The sequence below is a fragment of the Homo sapiens genome, chromosome 9 (assembly GCF_000001405.40).
Source record: "Homo sapiens chromosome 9, GRCh38.p14 Primary Assembly".
Classification (NCBI taxonomy): Eukaryota; Metazoa; Chordata; class Mammalia; order Primates; family Hominidae; genus Homo; species Homo sapiens.
In genome coordinates, this window is record NC_000009.12 from 41,005,439 (window position 1) to 41,021,057 (window position 15,619).

At 37.9% G+C, this 15,619-nt stretch overlaps 2 pseudogenes across 3 annotated transcripts in view; one reads left to right on the plus strand and one right to left on the minus strand.

Annotated features, from left to right (window-relative positions):
• The window catches only part of FRG1HP (FSHD region gene 1 family member H, pseudogene), a 46,843-nt pseudogene that overhangs the window by 13,178 nt on the left and 18,046 nt on the right, over window positions 1-15,619 (plus strand). The window contains exons 4-6 of one of the 2 annotated variants that reach the window (NR_034006.3): window positions 3,443-3,568; window positions 6,179-6,292; window positions 8,343-8,701. The product of NR_034006.3 is annotated as an FSHD region gene 1 family member H, pseudogene, transcript variant 1 (transcript). Of the gene's footprint in view, window positions 1-3,442; window positions 3,569-6,178; window positions 6,293-8,342; window positions 8,702-15,619 lie in introns of those variants that run through there. The other variant, NR_156730.1, reaches the window with a different exon arrangement.
• PGM5P2 (phosphoglucomutase 5 pseudogene 2) overlaps window positions 1,573-15,619 on the minus strand; it is a 67,615-nt pseudogene continuing 53,568 nt past the window's right edge. The window contains exon 9 of the transcript NR_002836.2: window positions 1,573-2,096. The product of NR_002836.2 is annotated as a phosphoglucomutase 5 pseudogene 2 (transcript). The remainder of the gene's footprint in view (window positions 2,097-15,619) is intronic.

Here is a 15,619-nt window from a genome sequence, read left to right on the forward strand (position 1 = left end):
GCTGTAAATTTCCCTCTACACACTGCTTTGAATGCGTCCCAGAGATTCTGGTATGTTGTGTCTTTGTTCTCTTTGGTTTTAAAGAACATCTTTATTTCTGCCTTCATTTCATTATGTAACTAGTAGTCATTCAGGAGCAGGTTGTTCAGTTTCCATGTAGTTGAGTGGTTTTGAGTGAGATTCTTAATCCTGAGTTCTAGTTTGATTGCACTGTGGTCTGAGAGACAGTTTGTTATAATTTCTGTTCTTTTACATTTGCTGAGGAGAGCTTTACTTCCAAGTATGTGGTCAATTTTGGAATAAGTGTGATGTGGTGCTGAAAAAAATGTATATTCTGTTGATTTGGGGTGGAGAGTTCTGTAGATGTCTATTAGGTCTGCTTGGTGCAGAGCTGAGTTCAATTCCTGGGTATCCTTGTTGACTTTCTGTCTCATTGATCTGTCTAATGTTGACAGTGGGGTGTTAAAGTCTCCCATTATTAATGTGTGGGAGTCTAAGTCTCTTTGTAGGTCACTCAGGACTTGCTTTATGAATCTTGGTGCTCCTGTATTGGGTGCATATATATTTAGGATAGTGAGCTCTTCTTGTTGAATTGATCCCTTTACCATTATGTAATGACCTTCTTTGTCTCTTTTGATCTTTGTTGGTTGAAAGTCTGTTTTATCAGAGACTAAGATTGCAACCCCTGCCTTTTTTTTTTGTTTTCCATTTGCTTGGTAGATCTTCCTCCATCCTTTTATGTTGAGCCTATGTGTGCCTCTGCACATGAGATGGGTTTCCTGAATACAGTACACTGATGGGTCTTGACTCTTTATCCAATTTGCCAGTCTGTGTCTTTTAATTGGAGCATTTAGTCCATTTACATTTAAAGTTAATATTGTTATGTGTGAATTTGATCCTGTCATTATGATGTTAGCTGGTTATTTTGCTCGTTAGTTTATGCTGTTTCTTCCTAGTCTCGATGGTCATTACATTTTGGCATGATTTTGCAGCGGTTGGTACTGGTTGTTCCTTTCCATGTTTAGTGCTTCCTTCAGAAGCTCTTTTAGGCAGGCCTGGTGGTGACAAAATCTCTCATCATTTGCTTGTCTGTAAAGTATTTTATTTCTCCTTCACTTATGAAGCTTAGTTTGGCTGGATATGAAATTCTGGGTTGAAAATTCCTTTCTTTAAGAATGTTGAATATTGGCCCCCACTCTCTTCTGGCTTGCAGGGTTTCTGCCGAGAGATCCGCTGTTAGTCTGATGGGCTTCCCTTTGAGGGTAACCCGACCTTTCTCTCTGGCTGCCCTTAACATTTTTTCCTTCATTTCAACTTTGGTGGATCTGACAATTATGTGTCTTGGAGTTGCTCTTCTCGAGGAGTATCTTTGTGGCGTTCTCTGTATTTCCTGAATCTGAACGTTGGCCTGCCTTGCTAGATTGGGGAAATTCTCCTGGATAATATCCTGCAGAGTGTTTTCCAACTTGGTTCCATTCTCCCCATCACTTTCAGGTATACCAATCAGACGTAGATTTGGTCTTTTCACATAGTCCCATATTTCTTGGAGGCTTTGCTCGTTTCTTTTTATTCTTTTTTCTCTAAACTTTCCTTCTCGCTTCATTTCATTCATTTCATCTGCCATTGCTGATACCCTTTCTTCCAGTTGATCGCATCGGCTCCTGAGGCTTCTGCATTCTTCCTGTAGTTCTCGAGCCTTGGTTTTCAGCTCCATCAGCTCCTTTAAGCACTTCTCTATATTAGTTATTCTAACTGGGAGGCACCCTCCAGCAGGTGCACACTGACACCTCACACTGCAGGGTACTCCAACAGACCTACAGCTGAGGGTCCTGTCTGTTAGAAGGAAAACTAACAAACAGAAAGGACATCCACACACCAAAAACCCACCTGTACATCATCACCATCATCAAAGACCAAAAGTAGATAAAACCACAAAGATGGGGAAAAAACAGAACAGAAAAACTGGAAACTCTAAAAATCAGAGCGCCTCTCCTCCTCCAGAGGAACGCAGCTGCTCACCAGCAACGGAACAAAGCTGGACGGAGAATGACTTTGAAGAGCTGAGAGAAGGCTTCAGACGATCAAATTACTCTGAGCTACGGGAGGACATTCAAACCAAAGGCAAAGAAGTTGAAAACTTTGAAAAAAATAAATGTACATTAATTAACGTGGTATGTCTTTCTCTCATCACCTGTTTTGTTCTTTACTTTTATATTATACTATGTCATTATCAGACCTTGTAAAATTAACAAGAATTCCTTAATATGTCATATCCAGTTAATGATTGACTCATTTCTACTCTAGTTAAGGTACAAATTAGGAGGAGGTTTGAGGATATTTTTTAACATTAAGATATAAACTTTTATAACAACTGCTAAAATAATTGTTGCTAGAGTCTAACATTTATATTGGCAAATTGGACATTAGTATACATAGGCATAGATTCTGCTCATTTTGCTTTCAATCTAAAATCATAGTTAAGATTACTGGCTGGGCGCGGTGGCTCACACCTGTAATCCCAGCTCTTTGGGAGGCAGAGGCGGGTGAATCACGAGGTCAGGAGTTCAAGACCAGCCTGGCCAATGTGGTGAAACCCTGTCTCTACTAAAAATACAAAAAAAATTATTTGTGCATGGTGACAGGCTCTTGTAACCCCAGCTACTCGGGAAGCTGAGGCAGAGAATTGTTTGAACCCAGGAGGTGGAGGTTGCAGTGAGCCAAGATCGCATCACTGCACTTCAGCCTGGGCAACAGAGCGAGACTCCATCTCAAAAAAAATAAATAAATAAAAATTACTATGCTAGAAAGTCTTCCTGTAGAGGCATTTTTAAGAAGCATTATGATAGGCATTGCCTCTGGAAAGCAGGCATGAATAGATGGCTGGGGTCTATCATGAGAGAGACCGTTCTCCATATATCACTTTGTACCTTCATATGTTGCCTTTTGTTTTGTTTTGGTTTTTTTTTGAGACAGGACCTTGCTCTGTCACTCAGGCTAGAGTGCAGTGGCATGATCATAGCTCACTATAACCTTGAACTCCTGGGCTCAAGTGATCCTCTTTCACAGCTCCCCGAGTAGTTGGGATTACAGGCATGCACCCCCATGCCTGGCTGTATGTTGCTATTGTGTATTTTAAAAACCTAATCCTGACTGTGCTGGTAGTCGCATGAATCTGTGCACATACGTGCAAACAAGTACATGTAAAACTGGTGAAATCTGAATAAGCTTCATGGATTATATCAATGTCAGTTTCCGGATTCTAACAATGTATGATACTTATGCAAGATGTTATCACTGAGACAAAGCGAGTAAAGGATATGTGAGATCTTCATAGTATTTCTTACGACTGCAAAATAAAAAGTTTTTAAAACTCAGTTACAATAACAAAGAACTCTGTGTCAAAACTAAAATATAAAGTTGAAATATCAATTTTATTTTTTAGGAATCTGGTGAACAGTAACAAACTTTGGTGAAATTTCAGGAACCATAGCCATTGAAGTGGATGAGGGAACCTATATACATGCACTCAACAATGGTCTTTTTACCCTGGGAGCTCCACACAAAGAAGGTTTGTGTCTGGAACGGAAGATCCTGCCACAAGTGTAGATTTTAGGACATTCATTCACTTAGGCCAAACTCTAACTAGTCTCAAACATTTTCCAAAGGAATGGAACCATTGCATTTGACTCTTCCATTTTTTTAAATTCCTTAATATGTACCAGCCATTGGCAAGTCCCTCTTTCTAATATAAGCATTTGAAAACATTCCGTATAGTTCCAGAAGAGTATCTTTGGAAATCCAAACAATATGAATAATTAAAATAGTAAGTGGAAAGAAAAAAGAAAACCTATTTGAGTCAAACATATTTGAATTTCTTTTTTATTCAGACCTATTACCAAAACTAACCTGGGTGCATTTAACAGTTTGAAGTTTCCACATTTTCTTTAGCCCATTAGAGGAAGCACTAATGAGATACGAAGTAATTAGAAGATAAAAAGCAGTATCATTTCGTCAGCAAGGCCATCCATTGAATAAATGAAAGCATTTAGCTTTTTTAAATAAGTGCTTATTTATGACTGTATTTTAAAACAAAGAGAAGCTATCTCGAAAGTTATTAAATAAGCATTATATCACCCTGTCTTACTCAGTGTATACAATTAGCACTATAGTTAAAAGAAGGTAAAATAGATCTTGATTCCAAAGATACAGTATTACAGTGACATCAGTATATCTGAATATTCTTACATTTAATTGCAGAAGAAAATAGCCACATTTTTTAAAGCAAAATAATGTCTTTATATTTATAGCATATGTCAAATTTATTTTCAAATGTTTTTTCTCCAATAGTTGATGAGGGCCCTAGTCCTCCAGAGCAGTTTATGGCTGTCAAATTATCTGATTCCAGGTGAACTTATATTGTAATATAATTAGTAACCAGTTATTTTAAAAATTTAATTGTATTCATTAAAAATTTTAGTATCTGTCTTAAGCCCATGGTAATTTTGATATAAAAAACAAAATAGCTTTTTTGAAAAGTAGATTTTGTGATCTACTTTTAGTGGATTTCCTCTCAATATATAATGCTAGGCTGGAGAAAAGATATGTAAGTTAAAAGATGAAGATTAATAATTTTATACGGCAAATAAGATAGATTAAAAAATAAATCAAATAGTACAAAACCTGGTTCACTGTTGCTATGATATTTAAACTCACTGTTTGGAAGTCCAAAGACAAACAGGAAGACTAAAAAAAAGGAATATTGTTGAAACCAGCAGAGAATGTTACAGCATCATAACGACCAAAAGAATATTTGTACTCACTATTTTTACAGTCATTTTATTTTTTATTCTCACCTTGTGCAGAAGTATAGAATGATTCTTTGGGTAAAAGATACTGAAAGTGAATTTACATATTTTAGTAATTGGTTACATCAACATGATAATGATTTCTGTTATATAATCATTAATGTATAAGGGAGTAAAAGTCAATTCTGGCATCCGAGGAGATTCTTGGTAAGGTAAAAGAAATCATAATTTTAAAAAATCACATTAAGATGATTATTTCTATACTTTCTTTGAAAGTGATAAGTAGGGTGAAAAAGAATAAAAGCAGAGGAAGAAAAACTCAATAGTTTTAAACTGCTTTACAATTATAAACAAAAAAGGATTATAAATAAAACTGACAAATGAGAAAATATTTGCAACAATCTTAATAGGCAGTGAGTTCTTACTCTTCATATGTATCTTGTATAGAATTCATAGCACTGAAGACCCCAGTAGAAAAATTGCGAACAATCAGATCTGAATAGAAAAATGGACAAGGGGCATTACCAGATAATCTAAAAACTAAAAAGGAAAGGAAAAGAAAAATAATTGTTATTCTAGTTAACTACTAAAATGCAAATTAATAGGATACTGTTTTTTTCATATCAGGTTTTCAAGTATTTTTTTAGAGTCATAACATTTAAAAAAAAAATCCATGATACAAAACATACTCTGTTAATTTGAGGTAAGAATGTAAATGGAAGCAGCATTTTCTGGAAAACAGTTTGATGACATAAAGTTTTAGTAATTTATTATTGAAGTTTATAACTAAAGAGGTATAATTGAAGCATGATGAATTTTGAAAATATTTATTATGTAATATATAAGGTACAATGTTTATATTAAAAAAGCAAAATATAAAACTAAATTTAAAACTGTACTGTCCAATATGGCAACAACTAGTCACATGTAGCTTTTTTTTTTTTTTGAAGGCACAGAGTCTCACTCTGTCACCCAGGCTGGAGGGCAGTGGTGTGATCATAGCTCACTATAACCTCAAATTTCTGGGCTCAAGCACTCCTCCTGCGTCAGCCTCCCAAGTAGCTGGTATTACATGTGCACACCACCATGCCCAGCTAACTTTTTAAATTTTTTGTAAAGATGGGGTCTCACTATGTTGTCCAGGCTGATCTTGAACTTCTTGCCTCAAGCACTTCTCCCATTGGCTTCCCAAAGCACAGAGATTACAGGAGTGAGTCACCACTCAGCCACATGCATCTTTTGAACACTTGGAATATGTCCAGTCTGGAATTTTAGATATGTACACACCCACACACATACACATGTCCTGTTTTGATGTCCTATAATTAATTTTCTCTTAGTTTTTAACTTTTATCTATCTTATTAATGTACAGAATCGCCCTGAAACCTGGCTATGGAAAATATCTTAGTATAAATTCAGATGAACTTGTTGTTGGCGTTCAGATGCAATTGGACCAAGAGAACAATGGGAACCAGTCTTTCAAAATGTGAGTGCTGTTATTGTTTATAAAAACTTCCTGTCAGTTTAACACAAAGTCTGTAGCAGTCAATAATAATATATTTAAAAAGAAAAAGTAGGATGCAATAGTACAATACATTAAATTGGAATAAATCAGTAAGAACACAGAGCCTTAAAGAGATCTCAAAATATAGTGCAACAAAAATAGCTTTAGTACTTTTGCCCACAATTATTTCTGTATACCCTTAGTGCCCGATATGGATCTCATTTCCATTGAAGAACCAGTCAATTTTAGGTCACAGAGTAGGAAAACAGAATCGTTCCTAAGTATCTTCTTTGTGGCAGAAATCATGGATGCTTTCAGAAACTTTAGAGACTGTAAGCGAACAGTAGAGCTAGCTAATACCAAGTTGTGACAATTTGCTTATAAAATATAAATAATAATAGTTCATTGAAGTAAATTATCTCTAAAAGACTTTCAGTTCATAAACTTAAAATAGTGTATGAAAAGATAGTTTTAATATAAGAAGAAAAAAGATAATATACTAATTCTTAATTTTAGTAAGTAGACAGTTGTAGTGTATGGATGTTTTGTTAAATCTTTGTTGATACAGAATATATAATTTCCTTTTTCTGTTTGTGTGAGAAGTAAAGATTGAACAAAAATATGTGAGTGCTAAACTGTCTTTAAAAAGTAGATAACTATATCAAAAACAGTAAGGACCAGTGGGCACCATGCAGAACAAGCAAATAGAAGCTCAGCCTTTGAGTAGCAGCTTTGGTAGTATACAAAAATGAACTGAAAATAGGAACTCAGCAGTGTTTTAAGATGACAGATTAAACAAACATCCCACCAGAAAGAGGTAATCACTTAGACTAATTTCCTCATCCCCTAGGATAAAATCTTAAGTCAGTGACTTGAAAACTATTTTGACCCAATCCATTGAGAAATGCATTTTTACATTGCAGCCCAGCACACACATATGTATAACTGAAGCAAGAGTTGTACTTAACAATACTTACTTATCCGTGTGTTATGCATCTTGATATTTCTTATTCTCTTTTACCCCTTCCTCTGTGTGTGTGTGTGTATTCTTTTTCCCCCCCACCCACCCGATACCGTTCAGGAAACACTACGTTGATTTCATTACCTGCTAATGTGTTGCAACCCCTTTGAGATGATCCTACTAGTTATGATGAGATGCTTCTAATAAAAGTTACACCAGTAGAAAATGCCAATATTTCATAAGGCCAGGATGATGACTTAGATAGTACTAATATTACAACACTTTAGGAAAGTTCATTTCATTTTATTTTTAGGAAGGACACTAATAGAGTTCCATAAAAGAAAAGTCTTTAGTGCATGTTATTTATTATTCAGGGTGTAGATACTATTTTAACTTCCACATTCTAAATTATAGTGTGGGTATCAATCTATGAAGTAGGTGCTGACAAGTTGTCAACATTACTGACTTTTATGGTGAAGTTTTAAATTTGAATTTTTATTCAAATATAAATGAAAAGACCATTTTCTCAGGTAAAAAAATCTATCATGCTTTGATGCTTTTCACTTTAATTGAAAAAAGACTCATTATAAAAGTACAATGCAAGAAATATTTAGAAAAATATTCCTGATCTCCAGTTGTTACTGTACCTAGATTTTTCTTGGGACCTATGTGATAAAACTTATCATGATTCTTGAAGAAATAGAAGTTCATACAACTGTTATCAGAATTTATATAAAATGTTTCTCAGAAAATGTGGTTTCTCCAGCTCGAACATTCTATAACTCTAAGCCAAATTGAAAGAGCAGATTGATGGGATAAAACACAAAGTATGGAAATAAATAATAAACTGCTACCCTGAAAAAGCCTACCTCTGCACATTGTTTAAAAATTGGAAAAAATCCTACTTCTGTGTTCTGATATTCAATGCAAGTCATTAGAGTAAGGTGAGACTCTTCCTGTGGATTCAGATTGAAATCAGGGACGGTGTAGGGAGGCCATGGTCAACTTTTGAGCTACCCTTGAGGGAAGAAATTAATTGATCAAATATTAACTGCCCAAGTATATTCACAGGATGGCCATCCAGTAATGAGAATGAACAGTCTCCAACTAAAGGCAACAATATAGATGAATCTCGGAAACATGATATTGACCAGACAGAAAAGATTCCACTTACATAAACTTCAAAAGAAGATAAAACTGATCTATGACATTAATAGTCAGAATATTCATTATCCTTGAGGGAACTAAACTGGGAAGCCACATGATAGGGCATCTGGAAGCTAGTAATGTCCTCTTTCTTGATCTGTTACATTGGTGTGTTTATTTCATTAGATTTATTGAGCTATACATTTACCACCGTGTACTTGTCTCTGTATATGTTTTGCATTGAAATAAATTTTACCAATAAAATGATAAAGCAAAATAAAGCATTAACTGCTTACTGTTTTCAATAATATGCTCCTCTCTCCAAGAGGCCCCCCATACAGGTGAAAGTGCCCTGAATTATGACCCCAAATATGGCCTAATGGCAGGATATCTGAAACTATAGTAACAGGATGTTGGAAAAAAAAGTTTCCCTGGGATAATCGAATACAACAAAAGGGGTATTCCAAAACCAGCTCACCATATGCAGACCTTATCATGAAAATTCTGAGAACCATTTCCATGACTATTGGATTCCACAAGATTTTTGAAGATATTTTTGGGGGGAGGATTTTATCAAGGAGAATTCCCACTTCTGCTTATAGGGAAGAAAAATGAGGAAGGGCTGCTACTTCTAACAAGGCTTCTTAAGACACCTTTCAGAAAGCTTAAATGACCATTTTCATGAACTTAAATGGAGCTGGGAGACCCAGAGGATGCTGCCTGACTTTGGCCCAATGATGTTAAAGTAGCCTGGGGCACCAGGGTAAGGTGGTATTGGAATCAGCAAGGCTTCTCGGGCCAGGAAAGTCATGAGCATTTTCAGTAGAGCAGATGTGTGCCATGTGGGAGAGATCCAGCCAAGGGTCATTTGGGGTTCTGTCCAGTACAATCACTTAGAGAGCGGAGCGCCCTACCAGCAGGAAGCTAGACGGGGGCTACAAATGCGTCACAAGTAAACACCAAGAATGCATGCAACTAGAGATGCATGAACCAGGTACAATGACCTGTAGGAGAGAAGTCTTCTGGAAAACCGTCTTCCAAAGGACCCAAGCAAGCCCCAGGAAAAGCGTCAGTTTTGAACAACCACCAGGCATAGAATGTGCAAAACCAGATTACATCAGTGTCCATTCTGTAAGAGCTTTCTTGTTCCTTACCATTCCTCCAACAGCAAGAGGTCAGAAATGGTGGGCCAGCTGAGATGGGAGAAGAAAAGAGAAATGGCACAAAGTGGAGAGAAGACACCGACCATACCTCCTTTCCTCTCTTTCCCACCACAGGTGGACAGCCCAAAGCACACTCCAACTGGAGGAAGGTTTGCCATTAAAGATAAGGTGGAGTTTTGATTATTATCTTGGCTAGTAAAAGTCATGGGGTCTGCCCACTATCGTATGGGAGGGGCGAGGATTACACCTACTTAATGCGCTTTGAAGAGGCATTGGGAAACCATAATAAAGATGTGGGATTTTTTTTCTTTTCTTTCTATCTCAGAATTGGGCACATTTCTGAGATATTCTGCTGCAATTGTGTAAGATTTGTCTGCAAGCCTTAATTTTCTCATTACCTACTTTTTATAAGTCAGGCACAAATAATTGGAACTGCTTATATAGGGAAAATTGTTGAGGCTTTAAAATGTCTCAACGCCAAATGAGAAGAAAGAGAATACATATTCTTTAGTCTTAATTTGGTTCCCCAGGAGCAAACTTGAATCCTGAAACAAGAATTCAAACTCACAGAGTTTATTTTGTAGGGAGGAAGGGAATGAAGAGAACACAGGTAGGGGAGAAGAGAAATAAGACAAGGAAGAGGAGAAAATTAATAAAGATAGGCTTCTCAAGCCAATTACCACAGTAGGCAACTGAAACTTAATCCCGCATGAGCACGCTAGGGGCCCGTGAAAAACACATGCTTCAGGGTCCCCCGAGGGTTAAAGGAGCTGACGTATTTATACAACAACATCATCATGCACTACTGCTGGGATCCCAACAGAGCCATCCATCACTTCTTATATGGACTCCCTTTGGCTCAAAGCACTTCACCTAGTATTTACTTTTCTCTTACTATTTCATCTTTTTTTGTGGATGACAGGAAATCACTGGCTAACCAATAATCAGATAAGCAGAGCATTTGTGGAAGGAATTCCTCACTCTACATCTTCTCACGAGCATGGCTAATTTATTTCAGATCTGATAGCAATTCCACTTACTTAGAATTTGGATGTCATTCAGTACACACCAGGCCACAACTGAACTGGACAGCCCCTTTTAAATTTCAACAATACTAACATCTCTCACAATAGTTTCTAGCTCCCAGAAAACATAATTTCTATTCTGAAAGAGGATGGGATTAATTCACTTAATTTCAATTCAACAAAATGTACCTATGTATTTATGTATGCTATAGCTAAAATACCATTAGTGTGTGTAGATGATAGATAGATAAGATAGACAGATAGATAGATAGATAGATAGATAGATAGATAGATAGATAGATAGATAGATATTCCCTGCCTTAACAAATTTATAATCAAGAGTTGAAGTAGAAATGTATAAAAATACTATAAAACAAGGCATATTACAATTACTCAAAGCATAAATAAACAAGGTGCTATGCACCATTAAGGAGAGAGCAATAAATTCCAACCAGGTGAAAAAGAAGGAAATTTCATTTCCTTCAGAAATGAAATGAATTTGAGTTATGTCTAAGTAAAGTTGGCTCCTGTCCCTAACTGCAAGCTCCCTACCTGTGGTCACGTTCATGGCTTCAGCTGTCCGCATTTCTGTGTCCATGTTCCAGGGGATTCCTCCAGGTTCCAGGCTGTGCTTTGAATCCCCTTGACTGTAGTCAGGTGTCCCCATTGTCAGCCCTGAGGCTCTTCCCTGAATTCCCCTGCTGGCCTCTGCCCTGCTGGATCCTGCCAGCCTTTGGCTTCGGGGTCTCCCTGCTCACTGCCTCTCAGAACAATCACCTCAGTTCCTCTCTCTGAGAGGTGTGGGCAGATCCCACACTGCCCAGAGCTCTGCCCAGTTCTCTAGGTCTTCAGACTTTGACCTGGCCCAGGTTTTCCATCTGCATGTGAGGAGCAACTGGACACCGGACAGTGGTAGGCCTTGAATGACCAGAAAGTAAATGGACAGGAAGCCAGACAGACTTTGCATGGAATGTGGAAAAGTCCAGAGAAGAATTGGCTCCTTATGACATGAAGAATGAATGAGGTCCCAGCACATAACATGGTGCCTTCTTTTCTCCAGTCCCCTGGCTACTCTTCCAGCAGCATTACCACTGGTATACTTATGCGTACCTCTGTGACCCTTCAACTAATGCTTCATAATGATCATGACTGTCAGTCTCTTCATGTACCTCAATAACTTGTGCCTCACACCCTTCTACTGATGGCCGTCCACTGCCTTTCAATTTTTCTTTCTGTACACTAGGCAAATTCTGATTCTCTAAACCTTCTATTCAACCTTCAATGCACTCTCCAAATACCTCCTCTTCTCTGAAGCCTTTTTTGCCCAGCATCCTCCAATCTTAAGCAAAACTGATTCGTCCCTTCTTCGTACCACCAGTGTACCTTAACCATTATTTCTGTAACTGGTTTACTTGTCTATATGTCTTCTTGGGCAATGAGATTCTCCAAAGCAGAGATGTGCCTTATCATTTCCTCGTGCACCTCCTCTCTGTACTGGGCACAGTATCTGGCCCAGAGCAGTGTGGTCACCAGCCTGCCCAGGGCAGAGGAGGTTCGTAAAGAGAAAGGAGAGTTGTTCACAGTGGGGAGACTGACAGCGGGAGCACATGTGCATTCAGGTCATTAGGTAGGAAGCAGGAAGATGAAATGACAAAGTAGCCAATAGCATATCCTTTCATTGTCTTTTATTTGGACCCATTGCCAGAATCAAGAACAAAGAACCTGGAAGCTCCTGGATTTATCTCACCTGGTAGTCTGAGTGGACTCCAGTGATAGGGTGTCTTAGTCCATTTTGTGTGGCTATAAAGGAATACCTGAGGCTGGGTAATTTATTAAGAAAAGAGGTCTGTTTAGCTCATGGTTCTGCGGGCTATACGGGAAGCCTGGTGCCAGCATCTATTCAGCTTCTGGTGAGGCCCTCAGGCTGTGTCCACTCATGGTAGAAGGTGAAGGAGAGCTGGCATGTGCAGAGATCACATGGAGAGAGAGGAAGCAAGAAGATGGGGAGATACCAGCTCTTTGTGACAACCAGCTCTCATGGGAACTGAGTAAGAACTCACCTCCAAGAGACAGAATTAATTTATTCAAGAGGGATGTGTCCTCATGATCCAAACACCTCCCATTAGGCCCCACCTTCAATACTGGGAATCATATTTCAACATGAGGTTTGGAGAGGACAAACACCCAAACCATAGCATATAGCCTTTGCAATTTCTTTTAATTGATTGAGCTACCCTACACCAGAATGGGTGAAAAAGGACCTTATTTTTTCTGTATATGGCTGTGTTGTTTTGTTAAGAGATGAGTTCCTGCATCAGGACATCATGGGCACTAGCATTTCAAAAATAGTGGAGGCAATAACCTAAGCTCAGTGGCATGAATCCACACTGCACATTTTATTAGCAGTGTAATAATTTTCTAAAAGATTAGTATCACAGATGCACTGATATAAGAATGCTTTGAATTCTTTGAGTTCTCCAGAGGCATATTTTAAGCGTCAGATACAAACTTTACTTTTCCAAATAATGAAAACCAAGGCAGTTTTCCTGAAAGTAAGAGCATCTTTAATTAATTCTAGGTAAGCGATTCTGAAGGTTAGCCAGAAGAGGCAGGTATACCTTAGGGGTAGTGGATAATCTCCAAGGTTTGGTGAGTACTAGCGTGTGTGAGTCTGTGTGTTTGCATAGCTGTTTCTGAAAATATTTGGGAAACCCTTGGGGAGAATCCCCCTCCATTGAGAGTCGCCATCACTGGGAGCCTTTCTTACCCAGGAGAGAGGATATGGAGGCAGAATTTAGGGTGAGAACTGTTACACTCGTAATTGAGGCCCTGAATGGAAATGTGCTGAAAAAGAAAAACATAACGAGAAAGACATAGAAAGAAATGAAGATAGCCAGACAGGTATAGAAGGAACATGACTCCCTTTAAATAGAGAAACAGCCACACGATACTCTCAAGTAATGCTGCTTTGTTATGTCCATATTTTGACCCATTGTGGTACCTGTCCAAATAGCCCTGATTTCAGGCCAAGCCCTGCCTTGATAAATGGAACTCACACAGTAACAACAGGTTTCCTACCACATCGATCTTGTTGATGTTGGAGCAAATTAAAGCAGATGTTTCCTGTCAACTGTGAATCTCTTCCCAAAGAACACATCAGCATCCTCAACCTCTTCAAGCCACACAAAAGACCAAGGACCTCCATGCAACTGGATTTCTCCTTAACCGCACCATTCTATTTGTTAGGTCCATTATCTCTGAACAATTAACATGCTCTGGAATACTGTGTTCCAGAATGTGTATATAAATGGAATATAGCACATGGCCCTATAAAAGAAAGAAACTATTAAGAAAATGGTCCCTTTAGCCAATTAGAGGAAATATAATTTCTGACACAGGGCCGCTATGGCCAGCTGGATACTGATGCATAAAGATACCTAACCGTTTGTAGCAGAGCAGGAGGTGGGACCCAGAGTGTGAGCCCTGAGATGATCTAGAAATTCCTGTGCAAATGGATCCATCAACGAAGGGTGATTTCATCCATTAAGGAAAACCAAGCTGTTTGTGAAGAAAATTTGACAACTGTTCGACGGCGCTTTTCCCTCCTTTAGGAAGTAGGGAACACTGAGTAAATGGGAATGTAGGAAATACTAGCATGTGATATTTATCAGAATAAGACCAGAAATGTCTTTGTAAACTTCATGACTCTCAGATACCATGAAGCATAATGTGTAAGTTTCACTTCCAGCTGCCAGTAATGTTATGTTTAGAGACAGCATTTTCTTCAATAAGCAATTCAGCAAAGTTGAAGATTTAAATAAAGGAAAAAAATAATGCAGACTACATTATAAAGTAATAATAGCAGGTAATAGTCACTGAGTGCTTCTTCTATGCTAATTACTTTACATTTATTATCCCATTCAAGTTTGCATGACAATCAGACAAGAAGCAGATTAGAAAAGAGAAAGCATTCTGTAGCAAACCATTCATTGTGAGTAACAAAGTGCTATGTATGGTGTTAGAGAGCCTGGGCTTTGAATTTACAAAGACCTGCTGAAGTCCAGCAAACACCACTACTAGCTGTAATGTAGGGAAGCTACCTTTTCTGCTCACCACATTGATCAACTACTATAGTCAAAGCACTACACTCAGACTAAAAAATAAAAACAAAGAAGTTGTGGTCCCTGTTCTCAGGGAGCTCATTTAAGTGCTCCCCATGAGCAACATTCATAATCTAAGAGAAGAAAGCTTTATTACAGCCACAAGTTCCGATTCCCCAGGCCAACATAAGTGGTTTCCTCTAAGCATCCTCATTGCCTCTATTGTGGCATTCCATGCATTGTTTTGTAAATGTTGCTGAGGATATCTGACTCTGTCACTAAATCATAAAATGTTTTTTGACAGTAAGCATGAATTTCATTATTCATACACTATCTGACCCAGAGAAGGTTTTCCATAAATGTTTATTGATAAGCAAGTGAGTAAGTTATAATAAGCAAGTGACATCCAAAAGTAATGACATTTTCAGGGAAATATCCATAATTCTAGAATTCTAGATTGTCCTTAAATATTGGGAAAATCATATATATATATATATATATATATATATATATATATATATATAGACACACACATATACACACACACATATTATATATTTAATACATACACACACTACATATATGTGTGTATATATATATTTATATATACTTTTTAAAGAGATAGGGTCTCTGTATGTCTCTGTGTTGCCCAGGGTGGTCTTGAACTCCTGGGCTCAAGCAATCCTCCAGCCTTAGCCTCTGGGGTAGTTGGGACTACAGGCACACCCAGCTAATGGGCAAATAACCTATGAATGAATTAGAGGTGTTGACAGTTTCCCACCCAAAATCATTCCCACTGCTTTTCATATTAAGAGAATCATGACTTTATTCAGGTACCTAGTCCTCAGCAAAGGTGAATTTACACAAAATAGGACAAATATGGCACAGGAGGACTTCTGGAAAAGTTTCCCCGA